This window comes from Homo sapiens, chromosome 7 (genome assembly GCF_000001405.40).
Source record: "Homo sapiens chromosome 7, GRCh38.p14 Primary Assembly".
NCBI classification, from domain to species: domain Eukaryota; kingdom Metazoa; phylum Chordata; class Mammalia; order Primates; family Hominidae; genus Homo; species Homo sapiens.
Window position 1 is genome coordinate 47704767 of NC_000007.14, and position 20372 is coordinate 47725138.

The 20372-nt window shown below is 46.5% G+C and overlaps 5 annotated features.

Moving 5' to 3' along the window:
- Positions 5363 to 6077: an enhancer, noted in NCBI's record as "H3K27ac-H3K4me1 hESC enhancer chr7:47749727-47750441 (GRCh37/hg19 assembly coordinates)". NCBI's record gives its function as "activates a minimal SCP1, AML or CMV promoter by ChIP-STARR-seq in naive H9 embryonic stem cells {active_cell/tissue: H9 hESC(naive)}" and the evidence as "EXISTENCE:reporter gene assay evidence [ECO:0000049][PMID:30033119]".
- Positions 10433 to 10512: an enhancer, noted in NCBI's record as "active region_25981". NCBI's record gives its function as "activates an Ori minimal core promoter by ATAC-STARR-seq in GM12878 lymphoblastoid cells {active_cell/tissue: GM12878}" and the evidence as "EXISTENCE:reporter gene assay evidence [ECO:0000049][PMID:35858748]".
- Positions 11065 to 11359: a silencer, noted in NCBI's record as "tiled region #2260; K562 Repressive non-DNase unmatched - State 22:ReprW". NCBI's record gives its function as "weakly represses a minimal TATA promoter and a strong SV40 promoter by Sharpr-MPRA in K562 cells {active_cell/tissue: K562}" and the evidence as "EXISTENCE:reporter gene assay evidence [ECO:0000049][PMID:27701403]".
- Positions 11065 to 11359: an enhancer, noted in NCBI's record as "tiled region #2260; HepG2 Activating DNase matched - State 5:Enh". NCBI's record gives its function as "activates a minimal TATA promoter and a strong SV40 promoter by Sharpr-MPRA in HepG2 cells {active_cell/tissue: HepG2}" and the evidence as "EXISTENCE:reporter gene assay evidence [ECO:0000049][PMID:27701403]".
- Positions 19221 to 20152: an enhancer, noted in NCBI's record as "H3K27ac-H3K4me1 hESC enhancer chr7:47763585-47764516 (GRCh37/hg19 assembly coordinates)". NCBI's record gives its function as "activates a minimal SCP1, AML or CMV promoter by ChIP-STARR-seq in primed H9 embryonic stem cells {active_cell/tissue: H9 hESC(primed)}" and the evidence as "EXISTENCE:reporter gene assay evidence [ECO:0000049][PMID:30033119]".

The following is a 20372-nucleotide window of genomic DNA, read 5'->3' on the forward strand; positions in this document are numbered from 1 at the left end:
CTTCAAGGCTCTTGTCTCCTTTGCAAAACTTCAACCACCACTGCATTGTACTTTCATTAGCAGCTCCTGAGCCAAATGCATGGTTGATATTGCAAGTTGTCTCCTCTGCTTTATGACCCATTTTGAACTCAAATAAGAAAATTGCTTGACTTTGCTTTTGGTCTAACATCATTTTCATAGTCTAAAATAAACATAAAATAAACAGCAAGTAATAAGTCATCAGCAAAAGAACATAAAGTGAGAAATGCCCATTAAAATGATATATGACATAACCACATTTATTTAAGAATGCATTCCAATATCAAATGGCAAATTCCAACAATGCAAAAAACGTAATTACTTTTGCACCAACGTAATATTTTCAGTGAAAACATAGTGATGTCTGAGCATTGAGCAATTGAAGATTGAAACCAAGAATTTACTGTAATTAACACAGAATTCATGTAAAGGGTAGTATTAATTTCTACTAAAACAGATGCAGTATGTGGAAGAACATATAGACAGAAGCATAACCAAGTGCTAAAAGAAAAGTGTCTCTGCTATTGAAACTAGCTAAGGATTTCACCAACTTATAGTGGGGAGGGATTGGGGCTAACCTCAGAATTGTATCATGTCTTAATTAGAGCTTTTAAAAGATATAGTCATAGGAAATTAACTGCATAAATCCTAACTGCACAAATCATTCTACAGTGAGAATTCATCATTTTCAAAAAATTTTTGTCTTTATAAAGTTGTAATTGTTATTTTTCATTGAGTTTCTTGTAAGTACTAAATGTTGCATTTATGCATTATGTATATAGTCTCACATTATATGTGTGTTCATGATGTATATATGCAGATTATAAATATATAAAATCTTCACTCAGAATTTTGAGATTATCCTCACTTTTTGCTTTAAGAAACTAAGCCCAACAAGGTCAAGTTGCTTGTCTAAGGACACTGAGTGACTAAGGGCAGACCTGAGATTCAGAGCAGGCCTTTTGCTTTTAGATTCTGTGATCTTTCTCCCAGCAGCACAGGTACTCCATTCTCCCCACCGAGGTGTGGTCCAGTCAGCTGAGCTGCCTGCCTAGGGGCATCCCAGAAGCTGGGATGAGTGGAAACAGACTAAAAACAGCAATAGAATGCACCCACATAACATCTCCAGCAGCAAACTTCTCAGTTTTCGTTTTCAGAGGGGTTTTCTTTTTCTCTTGGAAAAATATAGGAGTGTGGAGATTTTTCACATCTCCGATCAAAGTGATGAGAGACATGAATTATCACTTTAGCTCAGGTGGTCTTTGACATGAGGCGTTGGAAGCCGCTATGCTGCTTTGCTGCTTCTCAACACAGACATCTCCCACCCTTGACATGGAGCAGGAGGGAAAGCCCTTTGCGGGGAGGGAAAAAGGAGCTTCCAACTCCAAACTCAGAATAGAGAGCTGGGTGCAGGTGGGGTGCGCTCATCTGGTGGGGTGTGCTCCTCTGACAGGGGAGGAGAGTTTACCGGCTCTAGCTCCTACCGTGACTGTGACAGCCACTGCAGGGAACAGCTCAGGGAGTTTATTTATTTTAAAATTCAAAGCTGTAGGTCTGGAACGGTGGCTCACGCCTGTAATTCCAGCACTTTGGGAGGCTGAGGTGGGTGGATCACCTGAGGTCAGGAGTTCAAGACCAGTCTAACCAACATGGTAAAATGCTGTCTCTACTAAAAATACAAAATTAGCTGGATGTGGTGGCACATGCCTGTAATGCCAGCTACTCGGGAAGCTGAGGCAAGAGAATCACTTGAACCCGGGAGGCAGCGGTTGCAGCGAGCCGAGATCATGCCGTTGCAATCCAGCCTGGGCAACAAGAGCGAAACTCCATCTCAACAACAACAACAAAAATAAATAAAATAAATAAAATTCAAAATTGTGGGGAAAATGAAGTCGAGGTTTAAAAAAAACTTAGGGCACAAAGTTTTATTTTTAGGGATAGCAATGGTACATGATGGAAGCAGAGGGAGAAAAAATAAAAACCATAAAAAGTCACAGAAAAGAGGGAGGGATGGGGATGGGAAAAGGATTGAGGAGAGAGGAGGATACAGGAGAAGGAGAAGACTTGGAAAAACAGATTTTTTTTTTTTTTTTTTTTTTGTGACGGAGTTTCACTCTTGTTGCCCAGGCTGGAGTACAATGGCGAGATCTTGGCTCACTGCAACCTCCACCTCCTGGGCTCAAGTGATTCTCCTGCCTCAGTCTCTGGAGTAGCTGAGACTACAAGGGCCCACCAAAATGCCCTGCTAATTTTTTGTATTTTTAGTAGAGATGGGGTTTCACCATGTTGGTGAGGCTGGTCTTGAACTCCCGACCTCAGGTGATCTGCCTGCCTTGGCTCCCAAAGTGCTGGGATTACAGGCATGAGCCACTACATCCGGCCCCCTGTTGTTTCTTTAAAAAATATATATTTTAGCCTGTAATCCCAGCATTTTGGGAGGCCGAGGCGGGCGGATCACGAGATCAAGAGATCGAGACCATACTGGCTAACACAGTGAAACCCTGTCTCTACTAAAAATACAAAAAATTAGCCGGGCGTGGTGGCGGGCGCCTGTAGTCCCAGCTACTTGGGAGGCTGAGTTAGGAGAATGGCGTGAACCCAGGAGGCGGAACTTGCAGTGAGCCGAGATTGCGCCACTGCACTCCAGCCTGGGCGACAGAGCGAGACTCCATCTCAAGAGAAAAACAAACAAACGAATATATATATATATATATATATATATATTTATTTATTTATTTATTTTAGTCCATGGATAGAGCCGTGATGGAAACAAAGGAACACATAGTGCAAAGATGAAAAGAGATTTTTAAAAAGAGAACAAAAGGGAGAACAAAGCAAAGTAAGCAGAAGAGACCCCATCGCAGTGAAGCAGCTGCCCCTTGCAACGCGTGTCCCACTCACACTGGAGTCGCTTGCCTGGATTCTGAGCAGCTCTCTGGCTATCAGCACTGTTTAAAATATGACAACATCTGACCTCAAGATTTTCCTATAGAATACACTGGCTGACAGAAAGATGTACTGTAGCGGGTCTTAATATTCTTTCTTTGGCACAGGGCTGTGAGACCAGGAAAGCAATACGGGTGTAGTCAGGTGGAAATATCCATAACCATCATAGCAGAAAATACTCAGATGCAAAAAATGGATTATTTTTAGTAGAAGGAAACAAGTTAAAGAAAAGTAGAGAGAAGGTACCTTCAACCAAATAACATTTCACAGTGGTTATGTATTTTTTTGAAATAGAATTTTATTTACTTATTTCTGCTTCAGAGACATTATGTGGCCCTATGGTCTATGAATATCATCTTAATTGTTCTTTAACATTTAATTAATATTTACATAATTTAATATCTTCATTTAATATTTACCCCAAATGAGCCAGGAAAGTAAAAGTTATCACAATTTCTTTTTTTTTTTTTTTGAGATAGAGTCTCACTCTATCGTCAGGCTGGAGTGTAGTGGCGAAATCTTGGCTCACTGCAACCTCTGCCTCCCGGGTTCAAGTGATTCCCCTGCCTCAACCTCCCGAGTAGCTGGAACAACAGGCATGCGCCACCACATCCAGCTAATTTTTGTGTTTTTAGTACAGACGGGGTTTCACCATGTTGGCCAGGATGGTCTCTATCTCTTGATCTCGTGATCTGCCTACCTCGGCCTCCCAAAGTGCTGGGATTATAGGCGTGAGCCACTGCGCCTGGCCCACAATTTTAAATTAATTAATTAATTCATATGAAATGGGGTTGGGGGTGTCTCGCTCTGTTGCCCAGGCTGGAGTGCAGTGGCATGAACATGACTCCCTGCAGCCTTGACCTCCTGGGCTCAAGTGATCCTCTCGTCTCAGTCTCCTGAGTAGCTGGGACTACAGGCACGCATACCTGGCTAATTTTTGAAATTTTTTGTAGAGTCAGGGGTCTTCCTAAGTTTTCCGGGCTGGTCTTGAACTCCTGGACTCAAGCGATCCTCTCTCCTCTGCCTCCCAAAGCGCTGGGATTATAGGTGTGAGGCCTTGCGCCTGGCCTATCTCAACTTTTAAAAGGATAGACAAAGCCACTTCCAGTTCCGAAAGAGACCAGGCCTGTGAATTGCAGCCTGGCATGCAGGAGTGCCCTGGCAGCTTCCCTATAGAAAGTGGCAGCAGTTAGTCTGGGGACTCTGTGGTGGGGTTGCTTCTGCAGCTGTGCCTGACACCTTAGGCAGGCCCACCCTATGCTGGTCCTGCCTTGCTGCCCTGGGGCCGAGGGCCAGCATCTGTCCCTGTTTCACAGGAAGCAGAGAATCACTCAAGAGCTCATTTGGGGTGGTCACCCACAGTCACACAGTGATAATATTGCACCTCCACCTCTATTGCCAACCACTGCCTTTCCCTCACCTCAGGCAACTGCATTCATCTCCTAATGCAGCAAACTCTGACTGACCATCTTCTAGGGACAGGCTGGTTCCAGGGCCAGAGTGTCTCCACGGTTGAGTGATGCCTGGGGCTGACTGATCATGCACAGAAAAGCTAAAGGAAATGGAAAGTCCTGTTGGAGGACGGGCAGAAGGCTAGGGAGGGGCTCAGAGAGGCACATGATTCAGGCCTCGACGGGGGCATGGGCAGATAGAGGTGGGCAGGAATCAGCCATGTCACCTGCAAAGCTTTGGTGGGAAGGGGGAGGTGGGGGTGGGGCACAGGCTGGGCTCAGGAGCCACCACACAAGCCATTTCTGAGGGATCTTCCACTCCACCTGGCCATTTGAGAAAGAGGGGTGGATGAACACCTTTACCCAGGAATCGCTCTGTCTGCGCCCAGGGAGAAGGCATCCCTGAGTCTGGCCTGCAAGGCCCTGTTTCTCCTTCCCTCCAGGCAGCCTTCAGCCAGAGCCAGAAGGAAGAGGAGCTGACACAGTCACCCACAGAGACCTGTTTCTCTCTAGACAGTGAGAGATTCGGGCACAGCAGAGGACCTGCCCTTCTCATTCCTGCGGGGCCCACGGATTCAAAGAGTCCAGGCCCTTAGTCCCATGGGAAGAGCCCTTTGCTGACCCCTGGTGAGTCCAGCACATGGCTGAGTTGATTACACCACGATATTCCAGCTACAGGTTCTTGATTTCTGCCGAGGCCCACCGCCTGGCTTTGACGACACACATCTTTCTGCATTGGCGGGAGTCTCCCCATAGCAGATGAGCCACGGTGGCTTTCGGTAGGGCTGATACATGCTTTGGGGGTTGTATCTGGAAAGGACATGTGTTCTCCATGAGGAGGTGGAAGCAACCAGCCAGTGGACCGGCCCTGTTTCTGGGCCCCAGCTCCCCAGGCTGGGTGGGTTTCAGTGCTGTTGGGGTCACCTGTGGTCTCAGACATGGTTCCCATCACTGAGTGCATAGGAGAGGACCTGCAAGGTTGTAAACAACACTGTTGCTAGCCTCCACCCGTGACATCAAGTCAGAAACGAGGATGGGAGTGAGGCTCATAAGTCCATATTTTTAGAAATCTCCGCAGGAGCTTTTACCTGCAGTTAAGGGGGAGGACCCCCCCACCCCGCCGCCCGCCACTGTCTGAATCACGCTGTTGGTGAGGGGCCCGGACGGGCCCATGTGGGCTGAGCAGCCTCCCAACTCCTGCAGCACCAGCAGAGGGGCCAGAGGTCAGAGAACTGGACCTGCCCACAGTCTCCAGGCAAGGTGAAGAAAAACAGACTCCACTGTCCAAGTAAGCAGTGTAATGTGTCAAAGAGAAGAGGCTGGGACTCCATCCAAAATATGGAATGGATTGGAGATAAATGACTCCTTGAAACCAGAGCTCAGCAGCCACTGTGTGAGCCAAGGGGACTCCAGCAAAGCTGGGCATAGCCCAGCTCAGGCTCCAGAGAAACCCCCTCCCCAACGCGGAGGGCAGATCCTGGGGCGAGGTGTGGGTGGCCCCTAAGAACTCCAGCAGGGCCCTGGTCAGATGGAGGCAAGCCTGGGCCTGTCTGGAACCTGAAGGTCTGGGGGGTCTCAATGGTATAGGCTGGCTCCACCCCAGGAGGATGAGAAGCAGGCAGAGGACCTCAAGGAACGTCCCCTGGGAGTGGAGGAAGGACTTATCCTTGGGTCCCATGCAGTCGCATGCTGCAAGGGCCACATAGGGGTATACCTGGACTTTCTCGGCCACTAGAGTTTCTGATCGTCTAGTGTGGGCATCCATGAAAAGGTTAAATTCAGTAGGAGAAAATAGTGAACGAGAGGGCAGTTAGCACAGGACTTTATTCTGTGTGAAAACAGGGTTGAAAATTAAGTTCTGAATAAAAAATCTCTCTGAGCATTCAAAATAGATGTCATATGCCTCTGCAGACTGTTGCCTGCTGACTGTGACTCTTCAGTGAATGCCATAGGCCTATATAAGGAGGAAATTTGCTTGCACTTCTTAAAAAAAACCCTTAAATCCCAGCACTTTGGGAGGCCATGGAGGGAGGATCACCTGAGGTCAGGAATTCGAGACCAGCCTGACCAACATGGACAAACCCCATCTCTACTAAAAATATAAAATTAGCCGGGCGTGGTGGTACATGCCTGTAATCCCAGCTACTCAAGAGGCTGAGGCAGGAGAATTGCTTGAGCCCGGGAGGCGGAGGTTGCGGTGAGCCGAGATCATGCTGTTGCACTCCAGCTTGGGCAAAAAGAATGAAACTCCTGTCTAGGCGCAGTGGCTCACGCCTGTAATCCCAGCATTTTGGGATGCCCAGGCAGGCAGATCACCTGAGGTCAGGAGTTCGAGACAAGCCTGACCAACATGGAGAAACCCTGTCTCTAATAAAAATACAAAATTAACTGGGCATGGTGGCGCATGCCTGTAATCCCAGCTACTCGGGAGGCTGAGGCAGGATAATTGCTTGAATCTGAGAGGGGGAGGTTGTGGTGAGCCGAGATTGCGCCATTGCACTCCAGTCTGGGCAACAAGAGTGAAACTCTGTCTCAAAAAAAAAAGAAAGAAAGGGTGAAAGTCTGTTACAAAAAAAAAAAATCTTAAAAATCTGGATGGCGTGAATTTCCAGCTGAAAGAAGGCCAGGAGCAACAGGTGTAGAAGTGAGGAGAAGGAGGATGAAGAAAATCACACTGAGTGTGGAGTCAGGGTTGGGCCCTGCAGGTGAGAGCCTGTCGCATCCTCACAGCCCCTTCCGTGATCCTAGCCCACAGGCTGACGGCGGGGTGCTGCACGGCATGGTGGGTGTGAATGAGGCTCTTCGCAAGGTCTATTGCCCAAGCAGTCCTCTTACGAAAGTAACTGGTACTATCTTCCGTGCCTCGGTTTCCCCCACTGTAAAAAGGGCATGCTAATAGCAATCTCCCTCAGAGGTTTCTGTGAGGATTCCACATGCAGCAGAAGCTGTGCTCTTGTTAGATTTCAGCAATGATCATGACTGGCGCAGAGTCGTTGAGGAAGGAGCCTTTGACTTGGTGTACTTGTGTGGGCTTCCATCTAAATGGGTTAAAAAACCCAACCCCCACCCCCACCCCGACCTGACATTTACAACAGCAGTCCATCAGCTCTTCAGGAAGGTGATCTTTCCATGGGCTCTTAACAGGTAAGATTTCACTGCAATAGTCCTAAAATTTTAAAATCTGCTTGCGTTTTTTTTTTTTTAAGTGAGCTATTTGGGGCAGCTAAATACTATCTTTGAGTCACTTTTTCCCATGACAGTCCCGTTCACGGGTCCATTCATTTGACACCAACAAGTCAGAAATGAAATAGGAATATCTGTAACCTATCACCTAGGGATTCACGTCAATATCACATGCAGGTAATTACATTGAAAATTGAGCTTGAGGCATCACAGTTGTCTTCATAAGCATAAAAGCCATAAACGCATTAGGCGACAAGCACTGCGCGCATACTCAGCCCCCCGCGCTCTCTGCTGCTTCTCGGCGCTTCAAGTTGACCTCTCCTGGGAGCAGGACCTTCCAAATGGAGGACTAAGGAAAGAATGTGAGAAGGGCTGGAAAGAGCTGTATTCTAAAATATCTATAAAGTGCCTTGAAAATTGCCAGGAGACATTGCTTGGGAAACCCTGACTTCAATTATGTCCCTACACTTCATAGCAGCTTGACTGCAAACTATCTTGGCTAAATTAAAACCTTCAAAGGAAATTCCTTAAAGTAAACATAAAAAGGTCATCTTTAAATGCACAAGAACTAAAATATTTGAGGTTTAGGAGCCCCAAAGTAGATGATACATCGTATATTGTCAATAGCCCATGGGACGTTTTATTTTAAAAACGCTTCCACTTCAACTTCAAGGGGTACGGGTACAAAGTAGGTAACCTGATAATTCCAAAAAATCCAAAAAGAAAGAAAAAATTTCCCCGTCAACAGCGATCACAGAAGTTCTATTTGAAACACTTAAAAAGATTAATTTAACAATCTTAAAATAACTCATCTAATACTGGTGGTAGTGTGAAGTAGTTATCCTCATGAGTTGCTCACACTGCAATTTGTAGGAGGCATTTTAGAATGCATGTGGCAATATCTGTCCCAAACTATATTTTATTTTCCCTGGCCCAGGAATCAAAATTCTTTTTTTTTTTTTTGAGACGGAGTCTCGCTCTGTCACCCAAGCTGGAGTGCAGTGGCGGGATCTCAGCTCACTGCAAGCTCCGCCTCCTGGGTTCATGTCATTCTCCTGCCTCAGCCTCCTGAGTAGCTGGGACTACAGGCACCCGCTACCACGCTTGGCTAATTTTTTTTTTTTGTATTTTTAGTAGAGACAGAGTTTCACCGTGTTAGCCAGGATGATCTCGATCTCCTGACCTTGTGATCCGCCCTCCTCGGCCTCCCAAAGTGCTGAGATTACAGGCGTGAGGCACCGCGCCTGGCCAGGAATCAAAATTCTAAGAGTCTATCCTAAGGAAATATTTCAAAAGAGGGAACACTTTAGAAGCAGCATAATTCTCCTTGTAGTATTTTATGCTTGAGGAAGAAGACAATCACCTGTAGTAGGGGTTGGCAAACTATGTCCCACAGGCCAAACTGGCCTTCCGGCTGTTTTAGTGAATAAAGTTTTATTAAAACACAGCCACGTTTGGTGGCTCGTTTATGTTTTGTTTTCACACAATCACAGCAGAATCGAGCAGCTGGAACAGAGGCCATGTGGCTCCTAAAGCTGAAAAATATTTACTACCTGGCCTCTTTTGTGGTACTGAGCTTTGAATCCTGAATTATGATATCACTCTATTCATCAAGTTATTCTCTTTATAGCCTTCTGTAAATCTTAAATTTAATCCTAGATATTTCAGATTTTTTTTGCTGTTGTGAGTAGAATACTTATTAAAAATGATATTCTCTTGCTAATATTGAAAAAGCTTTTGATTTCTAAATATTTATATTATAACCGACCACACTCTGAATTCTCTTATTTCATCAATTAAGCTTTACTTGATTCTCTTGATTTTTTTTTTTTTTTTTGAGATGGAGTCTCGCTCTGTTGCCCAGGCTGGAGTGTAGTGACATGATCTCAGGTCATTGCAAGCTCTACCTCCCGGTTTCACGCCGTGCTCCTGCCTCAGCCTCCCGAGTAGCTGAGACTACAAGCGCCCGCCACCACGCTTGGCTAATTTTTTTGTATTTTTAGTAGAGACAGGGTTTTACTGTGTTAGCCAGGATGGTCTCAATCTCCTGACCTCGTGATCCACCTGCCTAGGCCTCCCAAAATGCGGGGATTACAGGCGTGAGCCACTGCGCCCAGCATCTCTTAAGATTTTGTGTAGATATTTTAAATTAGTTTTAAATAATTAGTTTGTAATAATTTTAATTAGTTTATCTGGAAGTAATAAACTAATAGTTTACCCCCTCACTTCCAGTATTTTTCTTTCATCTTCTTATCGTACTGAATCACTTGCTATTTCTAGGTCAGTGTTAGATACCAATAGTGAAGATGAGTACCATTCTGCTAATTTTGAAATAGCCTTGACCTAGTTACTCAGAAGTCAGGAGCCTGAAGCTAGCCCTGAAAATCCTGATTGCAAAGAGTTTTATATTCCCCTGAAGAAATTCCTCCTGATCAGCTCACTCCACACAAGGCAGCTGCACACAGAGCAACTGAGACATCCATGCTCTGAGCAGAGTTCCGGGTCAGCCCTACCTGGGCCACTGGGGAGGAAGCCATGAATTCTTTCTGCTCTCTGATCACTGGGATGTTGGTTCCAATGCTTAAGATTTCCCCCCCAGGCACATAAAGACAGGTGTGAGGAATACAAATTTCAGAAGCTAAATAAACCAAATAAAACATTTTAGTCAAAATATGAGGTAAGCACCCACAGTACGGAGGGTGAAAACATCTGTGCTTTGATAGACAGGTTCTGTTTCTGTCCTATCTCCTAAAATCTCAGTGACACTGGCACGCCTTCTCTGAGTCTCAGTTCTCTCAACTGTAAAATGAGAAATAATACCTAAACTCTAGAGTTCTTGCAAGAATTAGAAATAATTCGTAAGTATGGTTTGTAGGAGATATTGAATATATAATTAGTAAGTATCACATGTAGGAAATATTGAATAAATCCTCATAAAACAGCAGCAATAACCATCAAAACTTTCTCGGCAATTTGAGGAAGTTCCATTGGGTGCTGAAAACACAACTGTCCTTTGAACACAAGGATTGACTGTGGGGGAGATGCTGTGGTCTTGGATGGTTGTCATTTGCATAGTTTCTCTTTCAGGTTTCTTTCCTTCCAGCCATGCAGACCAACATCCAATATGATCACAGCAGATGCAATCTCAGTCTTTACTTAAAGTAAGCTTCCTTTGCTACAGAAAGGCCTAATCTTTTCCATTCATTTTTTGTGGACCACCACAGTGCGACACCCCCACCCCAACCCAAGTAGGCACATGACAATTGTGAAGTAACCAGAGGTCATTGGTTGTGACCCGCGGGTAGCCATTTTGACCCATGAAGGCCCTGCGTGGGGCAGGGCAGGTTACATGTCAACATATACTTCTGGAAAGTGCTTGATCATATGTTCAACTAAGAAACCATTGGCACCTCCTCTCATCCCATGCCTAAGTCCTTTCCTCAGCATGCTCTGTTAGGGAGACCCCACCTATTTTGTCTCTGCCTAACAATCATACATGGGGGCCTAATGTCCCTGGTGTTACAGATTAATGTACAACATTGTCACCCCTGCTAAAGAAGGACTCGCTGGGCTTCCCATCTGTAAACAAGAAGGCAGGGCTTGCATGCATGAAACACAAGGACCCTGGACTTGGTGCAAAGGGCTCTGACTTGGTGCCCGGCTCTCCAGCTGGATCTAGGCCTGTCCTTTAATTTTCATGTCTCAGATGTCTAACCCGAAAAAGGGGAGAGAATTCCAATCATTACTCTGTGTGGAAAAAGTAAAGCGTCTCTTTTTTGATGGGATCTTTATCCATTAATAATTTAGTTGGACTAAATTATTTACATTTAACTTGTTAAAGGTCTATTTATTTATATATTTTTAAATTTTTATTTATTTATTTTTTTGAGATGGAGTTTCTCTCTTGCTGGAGTGCAATGGTGCGATCTGGGCTCACTGCAACCTCTGCCTCCCGAGTTCAAACGATTCTCCTGCCTCAGCCTCATAAGTAACTGGGATTACAGGCACCTGACACGAAGTCCGGCTAATTTTTGTATTTTTAGTAGAGCCGGGGTTTCGCCATGTTGGCCAGGCTGGTCTTGAACTCCTGACCTCAGATGATCTGCCTGCCTCGGCCTCCCAAAGTGCTGGGATTACAGACGTGAGCCACCGCTCCTGGCCCTATTTATTTTTTTAACCTAATGACCTAATAGCACTTAATAAATAAATTTATTGTCTATTGATGATTCCTAATACATAAGCCATTAAAATCCATCCTGGAAGAATGCCAAATATTATTCCGAATTAAAATAGAAAGTAAGAAATATCGGGGTTTGGTGCAGTGGCTCATGCCTGTAATCCCAGCACTTTGGGAGGCTGAGGCAGGTGGATCATGATGTCAGGAGTTTGAGACCAGCCTGGTTAACATGGTGAGACCCGGTCTCTACTAAAGATACCAAAAATTAGCCAGGCATGGTGGCGTGCACCTGTAATCCCAGCTACTCGGGAGGCTGAGGCAGGAGAATCGCTTGAACCCAAGAGGCGGAGATTGCAGTGAGAGGAGATTGCTCCATTGCACTCCAGCCTGGGCGACAGGGCGAGACTCCATATTAAAAAACAAAAACAAAACAAAACAAAACAAATATCAAGCTTTGTAAAAGTGAAAAAAATCCTTGCAACTATTCACAGTTTGTCATATGTGTAGGGGATAAGTATTGAAGTGGGCAAAATATTTTCTCTCCCTTTATTTAATCATCACAATTACTCTACAAGGCAAAAGCAATTAGAACAGTGTCTGGGCCAGAAATAAATCTGTATATCTATGGGAAGTTGATTTTAAATTAGAGCACAAAGACAACTCTTTTTTTCTCAACAAATGGCTCTAGGACAACTGAAATCCACATGCAAAACAGTGAAGCTAGACTCAAACCTCACACCATATACAAAAATCTACTCAAAAATGGATCAATGACCTACACGTAAGAGCTAAAGCTATAAATCTCTTACAACAAAACATAGGACTGAATCTTCCTGACCTTGGATTTAACAGTGGTTTCTCAGATATGACACCAAAAGCACAAACAACCAAAGAATAATAGATAATTTCAGTATTCAGAATATAAAAAGAACTCATACAACTCAACAATAAAAGGACGAATAACCTAATTAAAAATATACAAACTGAATAGACATGCCTCCAAATAAGATACACAAATGGCCACTAAACACACGAAAAGATACTCAACATCCCTAGTCTTTAAGAGAATTAAATCAGTACCACAATGAAATACCATTTCACATTCACAGGATGGCTGTAATCAGAATGACAGACAACAATAAGTGTCAGTGAGGAAGAAGAGAAATTGGAGCACTCCTACAAGGCTGGTGGGAATGTAAAATTGTATAACCACTGTGGAAACAGTCTGGAAGTTAAGCATATAATTACCCTACAGCCTAACAACTCTGCCCCTAGGTTATATACCCAAGTGAATTAAAAACATGTTCACACAGACCGGGCGTGGTGGCTCATGCCTGTAATCCCAGCACTTTGGGAGGCTGAGGCGGGCGGATCACGGGGTCAGGAGATCGAGACCATCCTGGCTAACAAGGTGAAACCCCGTCTCTACTAAAAATACAAAAAAATTAGCCGGGCGTGGTGGCGAGCGCCTGTAGTCCCAGCTACTCAGGAGGCTGAGGCAGGAGAATGGTGTGAACCCGGGAGGTGGAGCTTGTGGTGAGCCGAGATCACGCCACTGCACTCCAGCCTGGGTGACAGAGCAAGACTCTGCCTCAAAAAACCAAAAAACAAAAACCAAACAAACAAAATGTTTACACAATAATTTGCATATGAGAGTTTTTAGTAGCATTATTCATAATAGCCAAAAGGTGGAAACAGCTCACATGTCCATCAGCAGATGACTGGATCAACAAAATGTGGCATATAGGTGCAATAAAATATTATTCAGCCGTAAAGAGGAATGGAGTATTGACACGTGCTGCAAGGTGGGTAAACCTTGAGAACTTTATGTTAGGTGAATGAAGCCAGATCCAAAAGACCATGTTTAATATGATTCAATTTATATTAAGTGTCCAGAATAAGAAAATTCATAATGACAGAAAGTAGGTTAATTTGTCATTGCCAGGAGGTGGGGGTAGGTGATGAATTGGGTGCAGGATTACTGCTAATGGGTACAGGGTTTCTTCTAGGGTGATGAAAATGTTCTGGAATTAAATCATGATGATGGTTTATAAACACGCTTTAAAAAGCCACTGAATTGTACACTTTACAATGGTAAATTTTATTACACGTGAATTTTCTCAATTTTAAAAATAAGTGCCTGAAACCCAGGGAGCACCTGGTAAGTGACGACTATTGTGACTATTAAATCCTGTCACCAGCCGCAATTTACACATGACGAACCATCTCTGAGGGAAAAGGTGCCTCACCTAGGGGCACAGGGCTGGATTGCACTGCTTCCAAAACCCACCAGTTAACCAAGATACCTTACATCTCTTCAGGATTCGTCTCTTCAAATCCTGCCAGTGACTTCCAACCCAGAGGGAGAAGGAGAAGGTAATATGCTGAGCAAAGAAATGTGTCTGATGAGAGTATGGTTTCTGTTTATTATATAGACAAGTATGACAGCATTTACATTTGCACATCTTCCTCTGTGATTAAGCATTACATGTTGTCTTCATGTAGCATTGTTGACCAACCTCCATTCAGAATGAAGTTTAGAGAACACATGCGGCTTCTTGAATCTGAGAAAGTGTTACTATGATTGTATTCCAAAGCTCCTACGAGCTTAGCATCGCCCTCAACCTTTGGAGTTGGAGAGAATGTGGAAGTTCTGGGTACACTGTTAAGTACTCCATAATGGCGAATTCCAGCAGTCATAGTGATCACCGAAAGGTCCTAATAGTAAGGCGTAGAAGTGGTGAGAGATTGGAGCCCTTGTGTTGGGGGGCAGGGAACATGAAATAGTGTGTCCACTGTGGAAAACAGTATGGAAGCTTCTCAAAATATGAAAACTAGAATTACCATATGATCTTGTGAGTCCATGCTGGATATACATGCAAAAGAATTGAAATCAGGGACTCAAGCAGATACTTGCATACCTGTGTTCATGGCAGCATTATCCACAGTAGCCAAAGGAGAAACAGCCCAAATGTCCTCCAGCAGATGAATAGATAAGCAAAATGTAGTATATGCATACAATGGAGTGTTATTCACCTTTGAAAAGAAAGGGAATTCTGTCACATGCTATGACACGGATGAACTTTGAGGACATTCTGCTACAGGAAATAGGAAATAGCCAGGCACAAAAGGACAGATACTGCATGATATTTAAGGAACCCAGAATAGGGACCTAGAATAGCTAAATTCATGTGACAGATGTAGAGTGGTCAAATTCATAGAGACAGAAAGTAGCGTGGTGGCTGCCAGGGGCTAGAGGGACGCAGAATGGAGAGTTTGTGTCGAATGGGGACAGACTTTCAATTTTGCACAACGAAAACATTCTGGAGATGAAGCGTGGTGATGATTGCACAATAACGTGAATGTGTTTAGATATCACTGAACTGTATTGTACGCTTACAATGGTTAAAATGGTAAATTTTATGTTAAGTGTATTTTACCACATTTTTTTTTTAAGAAAGAGAAGGTGCAGAAGTTGTACCAGCTCACCTTTCTGTCAGTGAGCCTCTTAGATCAGACAGGCCAAAACTTCTGGAGACGTTCAGGCCACTGGGGTCCCCTTTCCCCAGCTGCCAAGCTGTTTTCTGATTTTCATAGCTGCCCTCAAGGCCTCCTGGCCGATCCTTGAACTTGCTGCGAACTTTATGGAGATTGGTGATTGCCCTGCTTCCTGGTGGCTGGGCTGCTATAAATAATAATAATGCTGATAATGAAAAGAATTGCTCAGGGTGCAGCAGGAGGCTCGCCAGGCTCCCAGACTCACGGGGGGAATGGGGAATGTCATGTCCAGGGGCTGCTTTATGTACTTGGTGTTAATAAATCATAATAATTAGATACTGGTCCAAGTCATTTGAAATTCATTTCTTTCATTCATGCAGCATTGCAGGAAGATGAAGATGCTGGCTGATTGACCTCATTCTTCACGTGCACTCAGGGCTCAGGGCCAGCGCAGGGCTGGGGAAGCTGCTTTCTTCCCACGCCTCCAGGGCCCAGCCTGGCCGTCTCACAACCTGGCCTCCTTCTTGTCTGTGAGCTCACACTCTCTTTCTTCCCCCGCATGCAGATGGTGATGATGGCCAGGACACTGGCCACCTGCCTGCAGCATGCCCAGGGCCTGGGCTTTGAGGCTTGTCTTCCCATCCTGAGTGCTCCACATGCTTTATCTCACTGGACCCTCACAACATGCCTTTGGCAGGTGAGGAGGCTGAGGCTGAAGCTTGGCCTTGAATGTTGGCATGAGTCCTCACCAGCGTGTGTATTTGTCAGGTTAGACTGGGCTCTGCCGTGGTAACGAAACATCTACTAAATCTCAGTGGTTTCACATTGTCCTTGTTTATTTCTCACATATGCAAAATCTTCTGTGGGCCCGTGACTTCACAGGGCAGCTGTCCCTTGTACAGAAATCGAGCCCTGCAGGCTGCTCCTGTCTCCAAGCTTGGCCAGCTCCAGAGAAAGCGACCTTCACCTTCATGGTGGGGGAACGTCCATGGAGGTCTGTCACCCGCATGTTTACACTTCTGCCCAGAAGTGACACACGCACTTCCTCTCATGCCTTTTATCCAGAGCAGCCACAAGCCAATCCCCCTGCGAGGGTCTTGGGGTGTGGAGATCCTGGGCCTCCGTGAGCAGAACTGGAGGTGAGTGAGCTCCAGTGAGGTCTGCAGCTGTGTCTCCTCATCTCAGTGCTGTTGACCTTTGGAGCTGGAGAAATCTTTGCTACGGAGCCTGTCCTGGGAATCGTAGGATGTTTAGCAGCATCCTTGGCCTCTACCCACCAGATGCCAGTGGCACCATCCACTTATGACACCAAAAATGTCTTCCACATTGCCAAATGTCCCTTTGTGGGCAAAACGGCCTTTAGTTGAGAACCCTCGGGGCCTGCACCATGCTGTGTCTATGGATAAGGTGCCCAACGCTCTGAATCTCTTTACTAATTTCGAGTTAATGCTGCCCACTCTACAGAGATGATGTGAGGATGAAATGTCTCTGACTCGTGTGAAAGTGTGCAGCACTGAATCCCAACTCAGTAGGGCCAGGGCCCTGTTTTTGCTTCCCACTGTATTCCCAGTGACTGGCATGGAGGAGGCTCTCAGTGTTGATTGAGATGATGAATGAATGAATGCTCAGTCCTGGCATAGGACAGTGCTGAGTAAGTGGCAGTTCCACCCCCACCCCATGACCTATTTACACACAGATATGGGTTTTTGGGCCTTCATGGAGGCAGGAAGCAAGGGGCAGAACAGGATGGCCCTGTTGCGCTTCTCTACCTGGCCGACAGGTGTCCCCCCGAGCCCCTTCTCACGGGGTACTGCTTCCAGAAAGGCTGTGATGGGGCTGCTTGCTCCCCAACTCTCCTTTTCCCTGGCCACTGGTCAGAGTCTCCTGGGAAGGTCTCGGCCGCAAGTTGGCCAGCCCGAGGGGGTCTTCGTCTGTAGGGAGTCTGTGCTTCTGCGGGGGAAGAACCTCCTGGGGAGCACATCTGGTGCTTTGACTCTGATGTCAGATCAGACAAGTCCAGTGCTCAGCAACCCCAGACTTCGCTGACAGAGGCTGTCACATTCCTTACACACCTGGGACACTTTCTCTCCCTGTTGAGACTAGCGCTTTTTCTCTTTCTCTGGACTTGGTTCCCCAAACCTGTGCTTCCCCAGCCCCTCCAGTTACCTCCAGCTCTTGGTGAATCACTCTGTGCCCCTGATACCCTTCACCCAGGCTGTGGGCCAGTCTCCATGAGCAGCGTCTGTCCTCACGTTGGCCTGTCCCCCTCTGGAGGCCTGTGTGCTGGGCTCCTCCGGCCATGCTGTCCTCACTCTCCTTTGGCTCCACACAGTTCTGCCGAGGGGCTTCAGCTCGGCTCTGAGTACCTCCTCTTGGCCTAAGACCTGCTCACTATCTTCTGGACTTTCTACCTGGGACAGGGAAAAAGGGTGCTGTGCCCTCTTCCCGTGGTTGTGGTGTGGTGGGAAGAGGAGACGCTGAGGAGCCAGACACATCTGGGAACCATCCCAGTTCAGTCTTTTCACAGCCTCGGTTTCCTCAGTTTCAAAGCGTTAATAAGGTTGACCCTCATGTCTCGGTTACCTCAGGCTGCTGTAATAAAATAGCACAGACTGGGTGGCTTAAACAACAGACATTTCTCTCTCACAGCCCTAAAGGCTGGAAATCAAAGATCAAGATGTTGTCAGGCTGGAATCCCCTGAAGCCTCTCTCCTGGGCTTCCAGATGACGGTCCTCCCCCTGCGTCCCCACATGGTCCTCCCTCTGTGTGTCTCTGTCCTAATCTCCTCTTCTTATAAGGACACAGGTCATATTGGATGAGGGCCTACTCTAATCATCCCATTTTACTTTAATTACTTCTTTGAAACCCTATCTCCAAATACAGCCACATCTGAGGGCCCAGGAGGTTGGACTTCAGTGTATGAGTTTTGGAGGGACACAGTTCAGCCCATAGCACCTGGCAGTTGGACCTGAAGATGACCCCAAAGGATTGAATGAGTTGATGTGGTTACCTCCTGTTATGCTTCAAACCCATCCTGTGGCCGCCATCCAGCCCATGGGGTTCTGCCTCCAAACCATCATCTTCTACTCCGTTACTGCTCTCCTATTCAATGGCTGGAGACACAGAAGCCAAGACCTCCTAACTCCACATTTAATTTTTAATTTCCCCCACTTTTTACTTATTCTGTGCTGGGAACACAGAAGTTGCGCATAGATGGAAATGAGTACTGGGTGACATTTCAGGGGGATTACACATGGCCGTCTACCTTCTTAGCCCAATGGCTGGTTTGCATTTGCCCCAAGGGGTGGACTTGACTTCTGCTACTTCTGTGGTCACCTCTGTGCCCTCCCAGGTACAAGATGGAAGTCCTGATTTCAAGTCACTCCATTATTCTCCATGACATGGGTCTCATGCACCATGGGTTCTGGTTGGAGCCATAAGCGAGTATGAATGGCACTGTCTGTGTGACCCTGGAGATGGCCTCATGCAGGGGTCCCCAGCCCCTGGGCTGCGGGCTGGTACCGGTCCATGGCCTGTTAAGAACTGGGCCGCACAGCAGGGGGTGAACTGCAGGCGAACAAGCATGACCGCCAGAGCTCCGCCTCCCATCAGATCAGCGGCACCATTAGATTCTCATAGGAGTTCCAACCCTATTGTGAACTGCACATATGAGGGATCTAGGTTGCATGCTCCTTCTTTTTTTTTTTTTTTTTTTTTTGAGACGGAGTCTTGCTCTGTCACCCAGGCTGGAGTGTGCAGTGGCGCTATCTTGGCTCACTGCAAACTCTGCCTCCCGGGTTCATGCCATTCTCCTGCCTCAGCCTCCCAAGTAGCTGGGACTACAGGAACCCGCCACCACTCCTGGCTAATTTTTTGTATTTTTAGTAGAGACGGGGTTTCACCGTGTAAGCCAGGATGGTCTCGATCTCCCGACCTCGTGATCCGCCCGCCTCGGCCTCCCAAAGTGCTGGGATTACAGGCGTGAGCCACCACGCCTGGCCTACATGCTCCTTCTAAGAATCTAACTAATGCCTGATAATCTGAGGTGAAACTGTTTCATCCTGAAATCATCTCCCCTGCCGCCACTGCCAGTCTATGGAAGAATTATCTTCCAGGAAACTGGTTCCAGGTGCCAAAATGGTTGGGAACCGCTGGCATACTGGGTGTGAAAGCTGTGTGGAAATTGCCATACCCCTAGAGGAGTGAGACTTTGTCATCCTTCGGCCATTCGTTCATGCTTTCCTGAGTCCACCCCTCCGGTGTCTACTGGAGTCTCCCACTGGCCATGCATGAGGAGGATACAGGGCAAGTCTGACGCTGACACTGTTCTCAAGGGCTCTGTCATCCTGGGGCGATTGTCTGAGGCCTCCTGCAATTCCTACAAGGCAAGGCCTAAAGGGCCACTGGCAGGATGTGGGGACGCCCCTGTGCCAGCTCAGAGCAGCAGCGTTGGGGAAGGTGTGTGCCCGGTGTGCGGCCTTCGAGTTGGCCCCTGAGGTGTGGCGTGACGTTGCTCTGGGAGTCAGGAGCAGGGAAAGGGCCTGAAGCAGGTGGAACAGCCTGGGAGGGTGCAGGGCCAGGTATGGTTAGAAATGGTCTGCCTCCCTCGACAAAGAGCTACATACATCCAAGCTGCAAACAGTCCCCTAAACCCTGTGCAGCTGGCAAAGCCCATGTGTTTAAAAAGCCTGCAAGTCCCCGACCCCAGGGTGGCCCCAGCAGGATGTTGAGGAAGGCTATTCAAGGCATTTGGAGATGAAGTCATCAGGATTCTTTCAATACTGCTTAGATTTCATGTAACCTGAAACTTTTACACAAGCCAGTCTCTGCCTATGAATGAAAGAATACTGTTCCCCCACCTCCAACCAAACCCTTCCCTTTCCCCCTTTCTTTGATCTGGTGACAGACAAAAGAGACACGTTTGCCTATGGAAGCCATGGGATTTAGGTTCCAGGCCTACCCAGTGCTCACTCTGAAATTCCCAGAAATAAGGTTAAATGGCTGAGCCTGGCTGCAAAGCTGAAATGTGCAAGGACCAATGAGGGAAATGTAAGAAGGGCGGGGTAGGTTGCCAAGTTGGGATGATGAGGGCAGACAA